At 38.3% G+C, this 22,011-nt stretch overlaps 1 protein-coding gene across 11 annotated transcripts in view; it reads left to right on the plus strand.

Moving 5' to 3' along the window:
• The window catches only part of ANO4 (anoctamin 4), a 411,381-nt gene that overhangs the window by 4,700 nt on the left and 384,670 nt on the right, over positions 1–22,011 (plus strand). For all 11 annotated transcript variants that reach the window (XM_011537912.3, XM_011537911.3, XM_047428302.1 and 8 more), the window contains exons 2-3: positions 11,814–11,897; positions 17,894–18,145. In XM_011537912.3, the coding sequence (XP_011536214.2) occupies positions 11,814–11,897; positions 17,894–18,145 (336 nt within the window). The remainder of the gene's footprint in view (positions 1–11,813; positions 11,898–17,893; positions 18,146–22,011) is intronic.

The following is a 22,011-nucleotide window of genomic DNA, read 5'->3' on the forward strand; positions in this document are numbered from 1 at the left end:
CAGGTGTGAGCCACCACGCCTGGCCTGACCTTGAGCAAATTAATTCACCTTCTGTGTCTCAGTTTTCTCATCTGTAAAATGAGGTCACTAAGAAGTTAAAATGCAATAGTACTGTCAAGTGCGCAGGAGCAGTATGTAGTGCTCAGTAAGCATTAGGTATTATTATCAACTCCTGCTCCTAGCCAGTATACTCTCAATCACCAAGTCCTGTTGGTCCTTTTTCCTTAACATCTTTCAACTTTGCTTTCTCCTTGCCCTGCCCTCTGTTCTTATGCTAGTCCAGGCCACCATCATTGCCCACTTTGGCTGCAACAGTGGCCTCCCAACTGGTTCCTCTGCTTCTAGTCCTGGCTTCTTTGAATTACACTTGCAAATCTGATCCTGTTGTTCCTTGTTTAAAATTCTCCAGTGGCTCTTCTCTGTGTAGGGCTAAAAATTGAACTTCCTGCCCTTCTCTCTTGTTGCCTTTGACCCTAGCATCCCACCCTCTGGGCGGGAGGTTGTTTGAGGCCTTCTCAGGTTTCTGGACCTTGATGCATGCTCTGAACGACTCCCTCCTTCTTTACAAGGCCCCCTCTCTTTTCCCCTTGACATTCTCTGTCTGACTTGGTGCTTCCTCTGGGACTTCTTAGGGTAAGCCCTTTCCATAGCAGGTTCTAATTTTGTACTGCGGTGAGTAATCCCCTCTGTGGGTTGTAAAACTCAGATGACAAGGACCAGCTATTTTATCTTTGTGTTCCTTGTGCCTCGCACAGTGCCTGGCACATAGTAGGTGACCAGTACTTGGGTGTGTGACTGAGGGAGTGAATGGAGTATAGTAGGGGGCAGTACACCATGTGGAAGTTTTAAAAACTCCTTTTTCCTATTGCAAATAATAAGCATAATAACTTTTACCCTTCAGAAAAGACAAACAAGCAAAAGAATAAAAGCATCCAGACTACATGGTGAGATCAGGTACATGCTAGCTGGCTGGGACTTATGCTTTACCTACTAGATAAATCCAAGGAGCTCTTTAATGACTTCTCTTGTTTTTTCCCTACACCACCTGACATGCTTGTTATTATGCAAGCAAGACACTCATGGTCAACATCGATTAGGATCCTTTTGATTAAGAAGCTGCAGCAAAGCATGTACAGATTATTTTTTGACCTTCAGCCCTTCATATTTTGTAAATTTCTTTGTGGGGTAAAATTAAATTAAAAAATTTTTTTGATTCTGAGAAGCAGCATTTTAATTCTTTCCTTTAAAACGTTATGTTTTTTTGTAACAGTGTCATAGTCTGCTCTGGGCTGCTATATAACAAAATGCCAAAGTCTGGGTGGCTTAAACAACAGACATTTATTTCTCATAGTTCTGGAGGCTGGAAGTCCCTGTTGGAGGTGGTGGCAGATTTAATGTATGGTGAGGGCCTGTTTCCTGGCTTGTAGATAGTCATCTTCTTGCTGGATGCTCACGTGGCCTTTCCTTGGTGTGTGCTCAGGGACAGAGTGGGATCTCTGTCTCTTATAAGGGAACTAATCCCATCACCGGGGGCCCATCCTCATGAACAAGAAGATAGAAGAGATAGAGATTACCCAGCTAGGAGGAAAGAATAGGTCTTGAATATTAACTTTTTTCGTAAACCTATAAAATACACGGGAAACGTGGACTAAATCAACACATTGATATTTCTGAGGAACACACTCATGTATACATGTACATACACAAGTTTACACAAGTAAACTACATTTTTTTCTTACTAGTCAGTTCTCTAGAACCTTTTATAAACAATTTAGAGTGCTTTTAAAAATCTAAAATCTAAACCCAATTATGTCCCAAATGCCCCATCCCCAAATACTATCACACTGGGGGTTAGTGAGGGCCTTAACATATGAATTTTGGGAGGACACATTCAGCTCACAATAAGTAACAATGTGGATTTTTCTACTAGAATGTAGTCCTAGACACACAGTCCACAGCTCCCAAGGAAGTTTCTAGAACAAACAATTTAAAATAGGCTTTGTGAGTGCTTACTGTGTGTCAGGCACTGTTGTAGGTTCAGGAAGCAAAACAAAAACAAACAAAAAACAAAAAAACAAAAAAACCTTGCCTGTTTCATGGATCTTATGATGTAATAATAAGGCATGAATCTTTACCTCCTGAAGATAATGAAAACAGAATATAAGATTTTCAACAGTGAATCAAGTAGGTGTAAGTAGGAAAGGAAAGGCTTTTCTCTAATTAGGGTTCATGAAAGGGCTTTTGTCACAGTGCCTGCTGCTAGAAGTGGAATCAAAGGGACGCCGGGATAATGAGCACCAGACACAGTATTTAAAATGCAGGAAAGGTGATTCAAGTATTTGAAAGCTTACGGGAGGCTTTGGCAAACATTTCTTGTGCCTTCTATGCATTAGGCTGAGACAGGGTTTGAGGATGCAAGATGAGTAAAAGATGGCTTTGCCCTCTGGGAGTCTGGGTCTCACTCAGGTCTGATGCAGGTTGCAGAGGAGAATACTACTAGAACTATTACTACTTCAACTAGTATCTCTCCTGCCTGTCTTCTAGTGAAGTGGCACATAATAAATGAAAAAACGTTATGAAAACAGCAATACTGTCTTTGTTTTATGATAGTAACAAAGAGATCTGTTTGCATAGGAAAAGCTCTTCCCAGTGGAAACACACTTTATATCCTCTGATTGATTTTTCAGCACCTTAGGGAGAGACCTCCCAAGCCACCACTTTCTACCTAGGACCAGCCTGTGTCTACTATATGTTTTTTGAATGGATGAATTTCAGTCACAACAAAAAGAAAGTCCAGGCCCAGGGAGGTTAGGTGAGGAGATAGAGATTACCCAGCTAGGAGGAAAGAATAGGTCTTGAATATTAACTTACACAGCAAACATGGACTAAATCAACACATTGATATTTCTGAGGAATACCCACATGTATACATGTACATACACAAGTGAACTACATTTTTTTCTTACTAGTCGGTTCTTTAGAACCTTTTATAAACAATTTAGATTGCTTTTTAAAAAATCAGATGCAGTAAGTAGTTATAACTCACTCTATACAATAAACATATATTTTGTAAATTAAATGGTATTTCTAGTGCGCCAGTGTAGGTAGTTATTAAAGGAATCAGATGGTGAATATTTTTGCAAAGTCAGTAGTTATGCATCATTCTTCTGTTTGGTAAGTTCTTGGCTTTCATCTGTCCCTGTATATAAGCAGGCTTGTAATATGTTTTGAAAGGTTTAATGAAAACCTTTTCTTTGTAAAATTTCTCCTTACTTTCTTGTGAGTGAGATGTTTGTTTGCTCAGCCTTTGTGGATTGTGGATTCCAGGAGAAGGCTTTACCTCAGCTTCTAGTCCCTGTGTCTTTGTCAGGGAAATTGGTATCTTTTTTTTTTTTTTTTTTTTTGAGACGGAGTCTCACTCTGTCACCCAGGCTGGAGTGCAGTGGCGCGATCTCTGCTCACTGCAAGCTCCGCCTTCCGGGTTCACGCCATTCTCCTGCCTCAGCCTCCCGAGTAGCTGGGACTACAGGCGCCCACCACCACGCCCGGCTAATTTTTTGTATTTTTGGTAGAGACGGGGTTTCACCATGTTAGCCAGGATGGTCTCAATCTCCTGACCTTGTGATCCACCCGCCTCGGCCTCCCAAAGTGCTGGGATTATAGGCATGAGCCACCACACCCGGCCGGAAATTGCTATCTTAACTGTCAACCTGGCCTATGCCTAAAATAAGGACTTTGGAGCTTCATAGTTTATAAACAATAATCAAGCAATTATAAGAATTAGTGAAATTTCCCCAAATCAGAGTGAAACGGATGACATGAAGATGAATAACTTAAAACAATTGCTTCAGTAAATGCTACTTACTTCTTGGGCTAGACTCATGTCAGGATATCAGTTCTGGTTCTCCCACTTTCTAGTTGTGTGATGAAGAGCAAATGACTTAACCCTCCAGGTGCCATTACCTCAATAGAAAAGAAAGGGAAGGAGCCCATCATTCTTGTATTTCTAGCAATCTGAGCGGTCACCCCTCAGAACCCAGCCTGGGTTTGGCTGCCAGTCTAACTTGCCATTTACCTCGTGATGTGAAAGCCACTCAGCATTTCCTATTATGATTGTCAGGTAATTCTCTCAAGTAATGTCCTCTCACCTGAAATTACTTGGAGATGGACTTCTCCTCATGGTAGTTACGTGATGTGTTCATTTTGTGATAATTTTCACTGAGTTGTGCACTTGGGATTTGGGCATTTTATTGTATCTGTGTTAAACTTCAGTAAAAAAAAAAGTCCTTTCTTTTTATTTTTAAGGCCCTTCTGCCTTGGGGCAGGTCTTTCTTAAAAAGAAGCTCTTTGAATCACACGATGCATGCCATTTCTCTTCTCAGCCTCAGTCTATGAATATTCTGAACTAATCTATTTCTTGTGTTTCTCCCTTCCTGATTACACTTGTAATTCTCCCATTCCTAGCGCAGGGCAGATCATACAGGTCCTTAAAAAGTCTTTGGTTGATTCCTAAGGCCTTGAGAGTTTTGCTTATGGGCCTTAAAGTTAAGCTGTAGATCAGTGCTGCTCAGTTTAATGAGACTGCAAATCATTTGGATATCTTGTGAAAATGAAAATACTGATTTAGTAGCTTCGGGGGAGCCTGGAATTCTGCATTTCTAATGGACTCTCAGGTGGTGCAGCTGCTGCTGTTCAAGAGACTGCACTCGGAGGAGCAGGGTGGTAGAGAACAGTAGTTGGTGCTTATATAGTGAATGCTACCATGACTTATGCATGTGAACTGTATAAAGTGGCCCTGGTTAAAGGAACTAGACTTGGAATTCTGTTCTTTTAATTTAGACATTTTTGGTTGTGTTTTGCTTGATAGAAATATGCTTATATTCTCTGTTTTGTTTGGCCAGTAGTGCAACATTAAAAAAACTTTGAAAAAAATTGGTAATTTATACACACACACACACACAGAAAAGTGCAGATAATAATATTTAATAGTTGCCCCGGGACCCCCCCCGCCCATTCCCTAAAAAGGACTTCTACTCTGATTTTTATCATCACAGATTAGGGTTGAAAAACATGGCCTGTAATGATATTGATTTATTTTTTAATTGTTGAGATTTGCTTTATGGTCTAAAGTATGGTCAAGTTTTATAATACTTCACCATGGGCTTAAGAAGAATATATATTCCCTGACTGTCAGATGAAGCATTCAGTAACTGTCCATTAAATTGAGATTAATTGTACTGTTCAAATTTTCAGTGTTTTTACTAAAATTTTTCTTGCCCAAGCAATCAGTTATTAAGTATGTTAAAATCATTCTTCTCATGGTAGGTTTGTCTGTTATTCCCTGTAGTTCTGTTAATTTTTGCTTCATAGGTTTCAGATTATTTTATTCTGGCCATATAGATTTAACATTTGTTTATACCTTCTTGGATAATTGAACCCTGAACCTTTCATCATTATTACTCACCACCTTTATCCTTAATAATGCTTTTTGTCTTAAAGCCTTTTTCCTAAAAGTAATATAGGTACCCTGGCTTTATTTTGGTTAGTATCTGCTTGCTGCATCTTTATAAATATTTTACTTTCAACATTTGTGTCCTTAGGTTTTAGATGTTTCTCTTACAAACAGCATTTAGTTTTTTTTGGTTGTTGTTTTTAGAAATCCATCTCATAGTCTCTTAAATAGCAAATTTAGACCATTAACATGTATTGTTATTACTACTATATTTGAACTTATTTTTAACCATTTTACTTTGTTCTTTCTCTGTATTTTTCCTATGACTTTCCCCCTCATTTATTTCCTTTATCAAAGTTGAACTTTTTTGTTATATTCCTTCTCCCACTGTTCCTCACCACCCTACCCCATCCTTACCCCTTTGAACACAACTAACTGGTTTGGAAATGTAGTCTATTTCTGCTGTTTTAATAATTGCCCTTGTACTTTTACTTCAATCTTACTTAACAAATTCTACACCTATTCATTATATTTTGTTTAACTAACTCTAAATTTAATATGTTAACCTCTCCTCCAAACAATACTTTGAGCACCCAGCTCCTGGCTTGTATTCTATTATTATTTAGTATTTTACTTTTATTCTTTTTTTAAACCCTCCTATATTAGACATTAAAATTATTATTTTATATTGACAGTAGAGTTGCCCACATATTTACAAGAATTCCACATTCAGTGGAAAGACATAAATAGGCACTGTGTTTTCTTTTTCGTGGCGGTTAGGATGAAAGGTAAGATAGTTTAATTGTTGAGATGGGCTTTATTTTCTTTTGTTATAAGATTGTGTTGTTTATGAACACGCCCCCAAATAATTTGAGATAAATAAAATGTGTGTAGTTTTGTCCACACTTTTTCGCTAAGCAGTCCTCTGAAAACAGTAGATCTTGTTCTGTATGGAGCCTCAATGCTTAGCACATCAGATAACTGACTGTCAAAGATGTAACACCAGATACAGGAGGAACCTGCCTAACCCAACTTGTGATATTAATCTGTCCTCCTGTCTTTGCCTCTGCTCTCAATTGCTTTTCTAGTGTAAGACAAACCTGGATTCTGATTCCAGCTTTGTGACTTCCTGTGAGTGTGACTCTGGGCAAGTTCTTTAATTTTTTGAGCCCCTAATTCCTCATCTGCATAATAGAGTTATACCTTAAAAGAGTTGTTTTGAAGCTTAAATAATGGGTATAAGTGAAATAATAAATGTTCAGCATAGTGCCTGACAAAGAGTGAGTGCTCAGTAACTGATGGTGTCTAATTCCACCACCTTTTCTTTTTCCTAGGTACTTTTACAGAATTTGTATTCTAGGTTTGCCCTGCCATAATTTCCGCACTTCTCTATTTCTTTAAAAAAGTTATAGTGAACTATAATATACATGTAGACAAGTGAGGAAGAAAAATGTGTAATGTAATATATAATTATAAAATGAATGCCATGTAGCCACCACCTCGGTTAAGAAACAGAACACTTCCAGCATCCCCGAACCCACCCCTGCCCCATACTCTTTCATAACGCAAACTCACTTCTTCCCCGTCAGTGGAACCACCACGCTGACTTTTGTGCTAATTATTTTGTTGCTTTTCTTTATAGTTTTACCATCCATTATGCAGTAATAAACAATATAATTCAGTTGTGTTTGTTGTTGAAATTTTTATAAGTGGATTCACAGATATTATTTTCAGTTTGCTCCTTTCATTCCATATTTTGCTTGTGAGACTCATTCATAATATTTTGTGTAGCTTCACTTTAATTTTCTTTGCTATGTGGGATTCCATCTTATGGATATCCTGTTTCTTATAAGTATGAAATAAAAATATAGCTGGAGGTTGCAGTGAGCTGAGATCACACAATTGCACTCCAGCCTGGGCAATAAAAGCAAGGGCAAAACTCTGTCTCAAAAAAAAAAAAAAAAAAAAAAAAAAAAAAGGTAACACTAATTGAACACGTTCTATGTGGTAGGTCCTGTTATATAAATACTTTCTCATGTATTAAATAATTGAATGCTCATATAATGTTATAATATAGGTGCCTTTATTATTCTCATTTTACATATGAGGAAACAAAGCCACATAGAGAAGAAATAATGTGTCCAGGGGTTGGAATAGACTGTTTAATCTGGATACTGACTCTAGAACCCACAATGTTCATTAATCTCATTCATAGTCTCAAGTTTTCCCACTAGTTACATGATTTTATCATTTAACTCTAGGTGGTTCTTAAAGGATTAAATGGATATTCAGGCTCTTCTGTAAAATCTAGCCTTTTTGTTTTAATTCCAGTAGGTAAGAATACCTTCCTTCAGGTCATCACTTTGCACTTGGCAATTGCCACGGCTCTTTGTACTTTTGCTCTTGGAGTCTTTTCAAAATACTGCCACCAAAATTGTTGCCCTGGTTTTACCATTCAGGCTTGATTCAAATTGCCATAGTTTTGCTGTTCATAGCCTCTTCCTAGGCATTCATTTCCTAATTCAAGCATTCTGCTTGTTTGTTGATTACTGATTTCTCATTATGCTTTTTCTTCTTCATTCCTTTTCTCCTCCTCATTCATAGTCATTTCTGTGCTTATAAATCTCTCTCTCTCTCTCTGATTGTATACATTTTTTGGTGCCATTGACCTGTCCTATGAAAGTCTTCTTCCTTCCAAAATCTTATAAGTATAGATCAGGATAGAGCCCTAGAGAAGGGTTTAGAAAGAATGAGGAATGACAACTTTAGAGTACTTAGTTTGATATGTTTTAAGTCTGAATTTTATTGATTCAGCAAATTCCACAAATATATACAGAATTATTTGCTAACTATGGATTTCATGTAGCTGATTTATTTTTTTAAACCGTACCTCCTCCCCTGCCCCCCAAGAGTGAGATAAGCACTATTGTTACCATTTGCAGGTGGAGGAATCAGTACTTAAGGAAATTAAACAGCTTGGCCATGTTCAAAGAGGTTATGTGTAGCAAAGCTGGGCTTCCAACTTAGGTCTTCTGACTCTCATCCCAGTGCTTTCTCTTTGATCACAGCAACCTCTCTGAAATTAATAGGAAGGAGAATTAATTATTTGTTTGTTCCTTCTTTAATTTTGTTCCTTCCTTTTTTAAAACCAACGAACATTCATTGAGCATTTACCTTATGCCAGCCACAGCACTAAACTCTGGAAATTGCAAATTGGATAACATGTGGGTCTTCCCTGGACAAGCTCATGGTTGAGGAGATGTGTAAACCAGTGTAATCTTGCATGCCCAGTGCTATTATTGGAGGTGTGGCTAGCTGTTCAGGAAGCATTCTAGAGATTGGAGATGGTTTGGAGATGTTTCTTAGGGAAAGAGTTGGCCACATACACTTGCTAGAATTAGTTTTCCCATATTAAAAATAGTTTTAAAAATATTTCCTAGCATTTACCTTTCTGTTTGTGAATGTGCACTGGCCTCTGAGAGCCACCACTGTTTCTCTGTCCTCTGGCTTGCCACCTGCTTTTGTCAATACTTCCCAACTGCTTTCAAACCAAGGGCACCTATAGAAAACCCCTTAAAGATGACTCCTATTTCCTGGCTTCTCTGTCCAGGTACCTGCTGTTCTTTCCTGCTAAGAACATTCACCTACAAAGCCATCTTCTCTGTCAATCCACATTGTGTTCCCATTAAAGTCTGAATTGATACGTTTCTAGGCACCTTTTCTCTTTGGATGCATTTGACTAAATCCTAATAATTACTTCTTCCCCTCAGACCTATACTTTCCACCATTATAGATCAGAATTTTCTTATTGTCACATAATGTTCAAATGTTGCCTTTAGACCAGTGTTGCAACTATTTAATATGACTCTTGTAACCTGTAGTGGTTTATATTAGACAAAATGTATTTATTGTAATATTTTAAAATCACTTATACCCTATGTTAATTTTTTTACAGCAGTTTTAGGTTCATAACAAAATTAAAAGGAAGTTACAGAAGAGTTCCCAAACCCTCCTGTCCCCACATATACTCCCCTGTTATCAATATCTCCCACTGGAGTGGTGCATTTGTTACAATTGATAAACCTACATCAACACGTCATAATCACCCAAAATCCATAGTTTATATTAGGGCTCACTCTTGGTTGTTGGGTAATTTAATAATGACTTGTATCCACCATTGCAGTATCATACAGACTAATTTCATTGCCCTAATAATCCTATGTGGTGTTGCTGTTTATTCCTTCCCTCCACTCTGACCCCTGGCAACCACTAATCTTTTTATTGTCTCCATAGTTTTGCCTTTTCCAGAATGTCACATAGTTGGAATCATAAAGAATTTGGCCTTTTCAGATTCATTTCTTTAACTTAGTATTATGCATTTAAGGTTCCTCCATGTCTTTTCATGACCTGATAGCTCATTTCATTTTAGTGTTGAATAATATTCCATTGTCTGGATATACCACAGTTTTATTTTCCATTCCTCTATGGAAGGTCATCTTGGTTGCTTCCAAGTTATGGCAACTATGAATAAAGCTGCTAGGATATGCCACAGTTTTATTTTCCATTCCTCTACGGAAGGACATCTTGGTTACTTCCAAGTTATAGCAATTATGAATAAAGCTGCTATAAACATCTGTATGTAGGTTTTTGGATGGGCGTAAGTTTTCAGCTTCTTTCAGTAAATACCAAATACCAAGGGGTGTGATTGCTGGATGGTATGGTAAGAGTATGTTTAGTTTTGTAATAAATTGCCAAACTCTCTTCTAGAATGGCTGTACCATTTTGTATTCTCACCAGCAATAGAGGTCCTGTTGCCAGCATTTGGTCTTGTCAGTGTTCCAGATTTTGGCCATTCTAATAAATGTGTAGTGGTATTTTATGTTTGTTTTAATTTGCATTTCTCTGGTGTCTGACGTGGAGCATCTTTTCATGTGTGTATCTGCCATCTGTATCATCTTTGGTGATGTGTCTGTAAAAGTGATTGGCCCATTTTTTTAAGTCAGCTTATTTGTTTTCTTATTGTTGTTTTAAGAGTTCTTTGTATACTTTATATAACAATCCTTTATCAGATATGTGTTTTACAAATATTTTCTCCCAGTTTGTGCCCTGTCTTCTCATTCTGTTTGTATTATCTTTCATAGAGTAGCAGTTTTTAATCCAGTGTATCCATTATTTTTTTCATGGATCTTGTCTTTGGCGTTATATCTAAAACATCACTGCCATCTAGATGTTTTTCCTATGTTATCTTCTAGGAGTTTTTAAATTTTGTGTTCCTGCAATGTTTCATAAACAATTTCAAATACTCCTGATCTAGATTTGAGCTCTCTTCTGCCACATGCTGTCAGTGTGACCTTGGGCACGGCACTCAGCCACCTGGATTCTCAGCCTTTCCATCAGAGATGTAAGGGTGGCACCTACCTCGTGCACGAAATGTTGTGGGTGAAAATGCTGATATGCAATGCACCTGTGAGGCTTTGATTTCTTTTGCCCCCCTCTGCCTAGAACATTTTCTGTTCACGGTAATGAGGAAATTGATTCCTGTGCTGCACTTTTAGCTTTTGAGGGCATTGCATCTGCCCCTCTCTGTCTCCACTGCCACTCCTCCCATGGTTTGACCACCACTATTTCTCGTCAGAATACTGCAGCAGCCTCGCAAATAAGTCCTTCTACTCTCATCTCAGTGTCCTCCAATCTATCCTGGAAACTGCCACAAAGTGATCTTCCTAAAACAAAAATAGGATCCTGCTTTCTAGGCAGAAGCCAAACTTGTTAACTTGGTTTACAAGACACTTTGCAACCTGGCTGCTGCTCATCTCTCCTTCTCTTACTGCATTCAGCTGCTAACCCACGAAGCTGCCTGTGGCCTCTCAGCCTCCAGAGGATGGAGGATGGGGATGATAGCTCCCCTGCCTGCATCGTTTCCCTCAATTCATCCACTTTTTGCCCAGTCAGATAGTACTCACCTTTTAGGTTTTCATTAGGATGTTAAATTTCCTCCAGGAAACCTTACCTGATACTCTTTAGTCTATAGTCTGGGTCAGGCACCCTCTCTCCTGTCTAACTCCCTGCCCCCAACTGCCCAAGCACCCTTCACTCTCCCATTGTAATAATGATGACATGAAACTGCAATTGCCTGTGTGTAGCTGTCTGGGTTGTTTATTGATATGTTCTAAGTGCCCATCCCAGGGTCTGGCACCTGGCTCTCCCTAAACGTTGATGGGTGAACCACTGAATGAGTATGAGACTACCCGTGTCATAGACAAGGAGAGCTGGTTTATTTACCACCAGTCATATATTTACATTGTGGTCATGGTGTCTACTAAGTTATAATTAACCTTCTTGTCTTTTATTTTCTTAACAGACAAAGATGTGAGCAGCGGAAGTTATAACCTTTCCTCTGCAACGACGGGCAGCTACTACAGTTGTGTCAGCCAGATCACCATAGGTGAGCACTAGTGTCATTTTGATTTTTTTAAAAAAATATTATTGCCTGGAAAAGCTGGAGGTCAAGGGGGTGGCTGGGGAGGAGAGGGAAGAAAATATAAATGCATAGGCATTTATTTTCAGAATCAGAGCAATTGCTTGTGGACTCACTTTTCTGGATCGCCCTCTTGTGGATTTCTACTGCTTTTGCATGGAATTAGATGGAGGAAATGTCCAGGGAGATAAGAAGTCATCTCTTGTTCCCAGATCTTCATCATTTGCTTTAACCCTTTTGTTTTTGTAGCACCTGTACTATTATGCACTTGATAGTACAATCGAATTACTTTTTAAAGATTTATATTAATCTATTTTTAAAAGAAATAAGTGCAAATTGAAAATGCATGGTAAAAGTCTACTCTTTGCTGTTTGGAGAACATGCTAAGCAAGTGTTAGAGTGCTGCTGAAAATCAAAGTGAGACTTTCTCCTTGTTATGCTCACTCAACCTTAAACACTGGTTACTTTGGTCGAAAGTAGAAGAGTGAGCCGTGCCATTTTTCTTTTGGTTGAATCCTTCTTCTCCTTTCCATTTCCTTTCAAAACTTTCTTGATTCTAGAATGTTGGGCAGTGACTTAGAGATCAGAAAAGAAAAGTGAAGATAATAGCTACAGCTTATGCTTATTTTGCACTTATTGCCTGCCAGCTGCTCTTGACTCCCTGCATACATTATTTTACTTAATCAGAACTCTATGAGCAAGTTACTGTTATTTCTCCATTTTACAGATGAGGAAACTTGCGCTTTGCCACCCAGCTAGAAATTAATTACCCAAGATTTCATTCTAGGTCTGTTTGACACTAAATCCTATATACTCTTAAACACTATGCCGTGGCTTCTCAAACTCCAGCAATGTGGATGCCTATGCAAAGCATTAATGATGAACCTCTAAAATGGATTTAAATTATTTTTATTATGAGGTTACTTAAGTATGTTCAAACATAGAACTATATATAGACACCTTGCATTCCAAATAGCCATTAAAATTGATTTTGCAGATGAGATTTAAAATTCAGTAACCCAAATAAAAATACAAATTTACCACACTAATTGAATATGATGTATGTTGTTATTTTGCTGAAATGCAGTCACTGCTTGTAATGCAATGGGGTACTGGCTGCAGTGATGTTGGTTCTTTGAGTGCAGTACAGTTTTACTGCTAGGTACTTCATGATGACTCTGCATTGCTGCCACCTTTCTGAGTTCAACCCCCTGTGAAATCAATGTTAATGCTCACTGATGTGAGGTTATTGAATCTTCATTTGCCATGAATGTACCTCGGCATATCCATCTCTCCCCTTTTCTCATTCATTGTACCAATTGGTGCCAAACCTGATAGAAACACAAAAGTAAACCCAGGCATTAAAATTAAGTGGCAGGACTTGGTTCAGAATATGCTTGTATTAATTTTTAAATGATTAACTTTTAAATGAGAAACAAAGATAGTTTAAAAATTCTCGTGGAGAGCTCGCAGACCCTGGTTTGAAAACACTGAGCAACCTAAAATGCCATTCCCAGAGACATCAGTGAGACATTAAACATTAGCTAAGTAGTAGGAGGACATTTAGGGTTCACAGTAGGGGGGTGACAAGACAAATGTATGGATGAGAGAAGATTATTATGGTGGTGAACAGGATGGAGTTCCTATGGGAGAATCTGGTGTTGTAACAGAGTTAGTGGCTGTGACTGTGGTCTTGACATGAGACAGAAATCAACTAGGGAGGTGGGATGAAGAGGCGGGTCTAGGGGGAGAGGGATGGAATTGCTGGCAGGACTAGTCATTGGCTGGATATGGGGATAGTAAGTGTTCCCTGAGATTTTGCATCAGGGTGACAGAGTCTGAGCTGTTCCCAGGAATGTGGAAGTCAGGAAGAGGGAGGATGTGATGGTGATAGGTTAGATGTGTTGATTTGATGTGCCCGTGAGACTTCTCACGTCAGAATGCCTCACGGAAAATTAGAAATATGGAGAACATGTTCAGGAGATGAAGATATTGGCACTATCTGCACAGAGAGTTCAGTCAAATCTTTGGAAGAAGATGAGATAATAAGAGTGAGAATTAGTACGTTGTGTGTGTTTGGAGGACCAAGGACCAATCTTTGGGGGAAGCACGGTGAGGGTAGAAATAATGACAGAGGTAGGAGAACCAAGCAAGCACCTTTCTTGGAAAGCCCAGAGAATTTCTAGGACAGACTGAGGAGGTTGAAAATTAAAGTCTGCCTTGGTGACATCGTGAGAGCCACGTGAGTGGGTGGCGGGATGGGAGCCACGTTGCAGAGCTCTGAAAAGGGAGAGGAGGGCTGTGAGTAGAGAATTCTCTTTTAAGGTGCTTTTTTCAATGAAAATGGAGGGGTAGATAGTGTGAGGATGATTCAGTAGCTAACAAACACTTTGGGGAGCTTTCTTTTTGCCAAGCACTGTGTTCTAACTACTTTTTCTGTATTTACTCATTTAATCCTCAAAAAGATCCTGAGGTAAACAGTGATATTTTCCCCCATTTTATAAATGAGGAGATGGAGTCCCTGAGAGGGTAAAGAATTGCCTGAGGACATATGAGAGTAAGAGCTGCAATTTGAGCCCAGGTCATTGGGCTCCTATTGGATGACACTCTTGTTACCTGACATCTTGCAGACTTGGGCCAAGTGGCCTTCCCTGGTCCAGTCAGCTTTAGCTACCATGTCAGGGTGTTGGGTTGAAATGTATCCCCCAAAAAGGTACTTTGAAGTTCGAATCCCCAGTACCTGTGATTGTGACTGTATTTGGAAATAGGGTCTTTGCAGGTGTAGTTAAGTTAAGATGAGGTCATCTGGACTAGGGTGGGCCCTACTCCAATGTGACTAGTGTCCTTATAAGAAGGGAAGAGACACAGAGACCATACAGAGAGAGCTGTGTGATGGCAGAGGCAGAGATATGAGTGATGCATCTCCAAGCCAAGGAATACCCTGGGATTTCTGGCAACACCAGAAGCCTGGAGAGAGGCATGGAACAGATTCTCCTCTAGAGCCTTCAGAGATAGCACAGCCCTGCTGACACCTTATTTTGGACTCGCAGCCCCCAGAACCATGAGAGAATAAATTTCTGTTGTTTTAAGCCACCCAGTTTGTGGTACTTTGTCACAGCAGCCCTAGAAAACTAACCTCTGAAGGGGAGGTAGGTATGACAGATGCTTAATCTTCCCAGAAGGTGCCAGTGTAACAAGAAGGCTCTTGAATACTGCTTCAGTTCCCTGGCTCAAATTGGCTGAAACGATAGGAAATTTATTATTTCACATAACAGGGACACCAGAGGCAGGCCCGTCTTTAGGATGGGTTGATTAGGCTGCTCAGTGACATTGTGAAAGGCCTTCTCCCCTGTGCCTTCCTCTCTCAATTTATCTTCATGGTGGCAGCCACATGGCTGCAGGGTTTCAGGAATTGCATTCAGACCTGACAATGATCACAGGGTAAGAAGTTTTGGTGCCCTCCTCAGGCCATTGCTCTAGGAGCTGAGAAACTTTCCCCTGCAGCTCCTTGACAGACTCCTCCTATCTCACTAGGCAGGTCTGCGTCCCAAGACCCCATCCTTGAGCCAATCATTGACAAGGGAGATGGCATTATCTTTGGCCCTATCAGGCCCACCTGAGGCTTTTGGACAGGGATGAGGATGGGAAGGAGCCTTGTGTCCTGGGTCACAAGGCTGTGTGGGGTGGGACAGATTCCCAAATGAAGTCGTGGCTCTGTTGGGAGGGAGGAGGGGAATGATTCTGCATAGGCAATGGGCAATATCCACTGCTCACAGTCTGTCCAGTGCAAAGCACTTTTGCAATATTTATAGTAAGAACAAAAATACTTTACAACCTTAGACTCAAAGCACTAGAGGGAGGACAGATCTATGGATCATCCAAGAGGTGTTTTCTAAAATCTCCTTTGTTTTCTTTCATTTCTTGTACTTCAGTCCTTCTCTTACAGAATAGTCATCTCACACAGAAGTGTCACATTTGTGAGGGTGTTCCATTTAGGAAAATAGCATATGTGTGGATTTCCTAGTAATGTGGTTCCTAGATGAACCTATGTCTTGCCCAAAGCAGGGGGGTCAAAAAATCCAGGGAACAGAAGAAAGACTCCTCCTAAAACTATTCTGTTTATCCATGAGATACTCGATTAGCTCCTTATTTTCTAGATAAATTCCCATTTTAGCCATGTATGAGAGATTTAAGAACCACATAGTTAACATTATTTTTTCTCAAGACAGCTTACAATTTGGGGTGTTCTTTCTCTTTCTTCACAATTTTGGGTTCAGTGGGAATTGAGACCCCTATTCCTGCCTCCCTCCCCAAGAGGGGACATGATGGTGGGTGAGGGAGGATGAGCAGGCTATCAATGCTGCCAATGTGACATTTCTATTCTTTGCCCCGTGGGTATCAGCTGTTCTCTTGGATGGTTGTCTCTTCAAAATACTGTGGCTTCATTGTTGCTTTTAAATTGAGACTCATCTATTTATATTCCATCATAATTATGCAGATCTTGTCATAGCTCGTTTATATCAATAATGCAGATTAAAATATTTGCTAATGAACTCCATTTTCAGAGTAAATGATGTAGAAATTTCCTAAACAAAAAAGACTTGTTAGCTGTGTGAACTATATTTTTTCAAAATTAAATATATGCTATAAATTAGCTATAATTTTATATAAGAAATGCTAAAACCTGAAATCTTAGAGAGTCCAGAGTTCCTTAGAGACTTTTTATTTTTTTGGAAAAAGAACATATATTTATTTATTAAGTGTTTATGATGAATCAGATACTATATATTTATATATTTAACCGCATATATTTAAGGTGCACAACATAATGTCTTGGTATACATAGTGAAATGATTACTACAGTCAAGCAACTTGACATGACCATCATATCACAGTTACCTTTTTTAACATGTGTGTGGTAAGAGCACCTAAAATCTACTGTTAGCAAATTTCCAGTTCACACAAGATGAAGTTATTAACTCTAGTTCTCATGCTGTATATTAAATCTCTAGACTTATTCATATTACATAACTTAATTACAACTTGGTACTTTTTTACTTACGTCTTCTGATCCTCCTTGCTCCTGGTAATCACCGGTCCACTCTTTGTTTATATATATCTAAATCTTTATATATATATAATCTCTAAATCTTTATATATATATCTAAATCTTTATATATATCTAAATCTTTATGTATATATAATTTGTATATATATAAAATCTTTATAATTTAATGTAAATTAATCCTTATAATTTATATATATATAAAAGTTTATATATGTAAAAATTTTGTGTATAAGTGAGATCATAAACTTATTTTCTGTTATTTCACTTAGCATAATATTCCCCAGGTTTGTCCAAATTCATGTTACCTTCCCCATGTCTCAGACCCTATCCCTAGAAAGCCTCCCTCCCCTGAACTCCTGAGGAGCAGTTTCTGATCTACTTTAAAATGGTTTCTTTCATCTTGCTTTGTACTGTAGTTAGTTGTAGTTTATGGGAAAGAACATAGATTTTGGAGTCAAATCTGTGCTGAAGTTCTGCCTCTGGAACTTGATGTAGGCCAGGTTGAGATCCAGTTTTCTCATCTGTAAAACTGAAATTGTGATAGTCCCCTTGTACAATTGCTGTGAGGATTCTAGATCAGTTCTGCAGTTTCTATCTTATAGTAGGCCTTAAGTAATTTTTTTTATTATGAACACAGGTCTTATTTCCTTTATTGATTGGACTCTGAGCTCCTTGAAGGCAGAGTGGGCACTTAGCATGCGCTTAATAAACATAAGTTGATTAAGTGAACAAGAGCCATCAAGAGGGATGATGCCTGCCTGTTTATTATGAACATGCATTCTTAGCTCAAATGGTATTTGGTTTGACTAACAGCTAAGATTTTGGGGAAGTATGAAAATAAGCACACTATATGGCTTTGATTGCTGCCACTCACCTAATATGTTTATCTCACCAGGTTATGACGTTGCGGGGCCTGTGGCAATTGGGCTTACCCACTGGAAAAATCCATACGTACAAGGCAGACCAACCCTCCCATCAGATCTGCCTCTCTTCGTCTCCAAAGATGCAGGCATCCCTGTGTACCACCGATCCTTCACCCGCAAGACTGACCAGGCCACACCTTTGTCCTGTCCAGCCTCACTGTCTATCACTCCAGTGCCTTCTTACAGCAGTAGCAGCCAGGAAACCCTGAGTCAAGACACAACAGGTAAGTGTTGGCTTCCTGTTGGAGATTCGGGACTGGGTGTGTATAAGATTCCTTCATGCATTTGCCTGCTGAATAAATTGCATTTGTATTTCTGCTTGTGTGATATGATGGACCCCAACAATACCTCTATGTTCATACTGGCTTTTCTTTTTAATGAGATGGGGTCTCACTTTGTTGTCCAGGCTGGTATCGAACTCCTGGCCTCAAGCAATCCCTCCCACCTCAGCCTCCTGAGTAGCTGGGACTACAGGCACGCACACCACCATGCCCAGCTCTCACTGGCCTTTAATAGCTTTGCTATACCAGAAGGAAGGTTGAATGTGTATAGAAATATTTGACCTAAGTGCTAGTTCTGTTTGGTAAAATGTTATCTAGAAATCAACTCTGAATCAGAATTTCAAGATATGTCATATGGCTTTAATTTATTGAATGCTCTATTTAGTGACAAGATATCTATCTTGGACTAAACTCGTGTATTCAAAAAAGTCATCAAAAAGTCATCTTTGAATACCGTAGTTAATATCAATTCATGTTGCTCCACCAAATTGATCTATTTCAGGGGTCTGCAAACTACTGCCAAATCTGGCTGGCTACCTGTTTTTGTACAGCCCGAGAACTAAGAATAGTTTTTACATTTTTAAATGGTTGGAAAAAAAGTTTTTAAACAATATTTTGATACACATGAAAGTTACATAAAATTCACATTTCAGTATTTATATATAAGGTTTTCCTGGGACACAGCCACACTGATTCATTTCTGTATTGTCTATGGCTGTTTTCACATAACAGTGGCAGAGTTGAGTAATTGTACTCTTGCAAACGCTGAAATATTTATTATCTGGCCCTTTATAGAAAATGTTTGCTGACTGCTGATCTATGTGATCCTTGGAAGTCATGAGTTAAACAGTCAGGGCAAGAAGAATGCTTACAACATCCTGCCTTAAAATTTATCGCTTATATCACACTGGAAATAGCTGCAGAAATGGCCATGCAAGGATGGCCAGTTAATTGTTTTTATTTCTAAAATCTGAGTTGGAGGTTTAAATTATGCAAAATCTATCCTGCCATGTTTTCCTTCTATAGATACAGCACTTAGAGGTAATGGTTTAGTCAGCCAAATCCAATGTGTAATTCTGGTTCTGGAAATAAATCTTTGAATGTTGGGATACCACGACACTCAACAATTTATAGATGCTGCCACCTAGAGGTAAGATGCTGAGGTTGCAGAAGTTCCAGATTATCAAAACTAATCTTTAAAGCAGTAGATTGCAGACTTCACTAAAGGTTAAGAATCAGCACTGCACTTGTTAAAAATGAAGATTCCTGGGTCTTACCCCAGGGGATGCTGTGTCCATGGCACAGGGTGAGCTTCAGCAATCTGCATTTGGCAGGCTTTTCCTTCCTGGGATTTTGATTCCTGCGGTTCACAAACATACCTGGAGGACCCCCTCCAAAGGCTCTTTAGTCAAATGGCTGAATTGAAATATCAGGGATTGGTAATGAAGAGCACTGGGGAACATTTGCATACCATCAGTTCTGCACATGGCAAAAGTAATCATCTTTCTGACTGTCCTTGTTGAAGGTCAGTTTGACAGCGGAAAGAAATCACTATCTGGGGCTTGAAAATGTTTCTGTATAGTAAGTTTAAAATTTTCTGGGTTTTGCTTTTATTGTGAAGGAAAGCTGACTCTTCTTGCTTTAGTTTAATAAAATCAGAAGTTAATATATAAAGTACCTCCTTTATATATTAACCCAGGGTAGCTGAAAGCTTATGGCATTTTTTGGCAAAGAGGGGTGTGAAATGGCAGCTGCCAGATTAACATTTTATCATGGTTCCCTTAGTTGACTTTTTTTCTCCTCCATAGAGCACTATACTCAGAGTCAATCTGATTTTTGGATAAAGGTTTCTGTGTTTAACTTGGAGGTTTTCACAAACAAAAGCCTATAATTCTCTTCATTCCTGGGGACTTTCCATTAGCAATAAAATATTGATTTGTTCCAAGCAACTGCTTATTATTATTCTTACTATTAGTATCCTAACAAAGTAAGCCTGGACATCCAAATATATACTACACAAGCATGTGATAATCATTTTATCATAGAAAGTTATAGATGCTGGTATAGTTTTTGTAAGTCTCGACAATGACTATGTGTAGGCCAATTATTACATTTATTTGATTTTTTAGAACAAATTGTTGATTTTAATATGTATTTTTGTGTGAAAGCTTATAGTTTCCTTTCTTTTTATTTGTGTTTTAAAGAATAAAGTTAATTTCATTTTGTTTAAAAAATACAGTTTTATTACTCATTTATACTTAATTTTTTGCTTCTTTTGCTAGTTAAAAGAAAACTCTGAGGTGAGATAAGTCAGTTCAGCTATACTAGGATACCCTACAAATTCCAGACTTTGCCAGACATCCCTTCACAATTCTAAGCTATCTCTCTTCTCTATAAACTTTTGGACTGATATAGAGGAGCTGACAAGTTTTAGGCACAATATAACTATACAATTATTCATGGATTGTGAGAATTTTCTTATGTTTAAGAATTTCCCAAACACATTATAAAATCATTTTTCCATTTTATAAATCCCACCATTCTGCAGTCCTAGAAAGAATGCTTAATAGCAGAACACTAACTAAATGACTAGAGCTTCTTGAGCTCTCATTTTATTTAGCTGTGTTCGCTATTGTCACCATCCTATTCCATCATTCTTTCCCTTCATTGTGTGACTAACTTCTATAGTAGATTCTCTTGTATTAGACTTTACTTAACCCTGCTTGTCACCTTGTGCAGTGAACAACTTGTGAAACTGCATAGTGGTCCTGAATGTAGTTCTTCCTTATGACAGAAAAACTGTTTCCAGTGTCCAGCTTGGTCCATCCATCTATCCATCCATCCACTCACCCATTCATCCATCCAATATACACTAAGTTACCACTCCATGTTATGTATTGTGATAAGTCCTTGGGAGAGAAAATTAAGTAAGGCATCACCTCTATCTCAGGAGCTCAGAGTCTAGTGGAGGAGGCAGACAAGTAAGGCAAGCATTCTGATTCAGTGTGGTGTTAAGATAGATGATTTCACAAGACGTGATCACATATGTTTTTGTTTTAAATTATTTAATTAATATATTATTAAAATACTAATAGTATTAAAATATTTTAAAATATATATCTAAAATATTAGTACAAATACACTGAATGCAGAATATATTATTAAATTATTTCTTCAATTAAAAGAAGGTAAATTTGAGACAACCATAGGAGGAAAGCTTGGAAATGATCTCTATCTCAGATACTTTTAGTAGGTTTGACACACAATTTTTAAAAAAGTAAATGATGATAGTATTCAATTGATATTAAATTCATTACAAATAATTTATAAGCTTTGGTTTAAGAGAAAAGTAATTAGAAACTTTACACTTCAAAAAGTTGCTACTAGATACTGGACTTTGGGATATACTGTAAGAATTCTGGTTAAATCAAGAAATATTTTGAGGACAAAAATAAGGCATGAAAGGTATTTTAAAAATTAAAATGGAAATAACTCCTTCTTGCTTAGTAAGTGTCATAGAAAAAGAGTAAAACTATTGTCACTTTATTTCCTTCCAATTTTTATTTTAGGTTTGGGAGTACACGTGCAGGTTTGCTACATGGCCAAATTGCATTTCGCTTGGGTTTGTTATACAAATTATTTAATCACCCAGGTAGTGAGCACAGTACCTCATAGGTAGTTTTTTAATCCTCACCCTCCTCCCAACCTCCACCCTCAAGTAGGCCTTGGTGTCTGTTGTTCCCTTCTGTGTGTCCATGTTAACATGCAATTTTTGATAACCAAGATTTGTAACTTCCATCACCACTACC

The sequence above is a fragment of the Homo sapiens genome, chromosome 12, assembly GCF_000001405.40.
Source record: "Homo sapiens chromosome 12, GRCh38.p14 Primary Assembly".
NCBI lineage: Eukaryota > Metazoa > Chordata > Mammalia > Primates > Hominidae > Homo > Homo sapiens.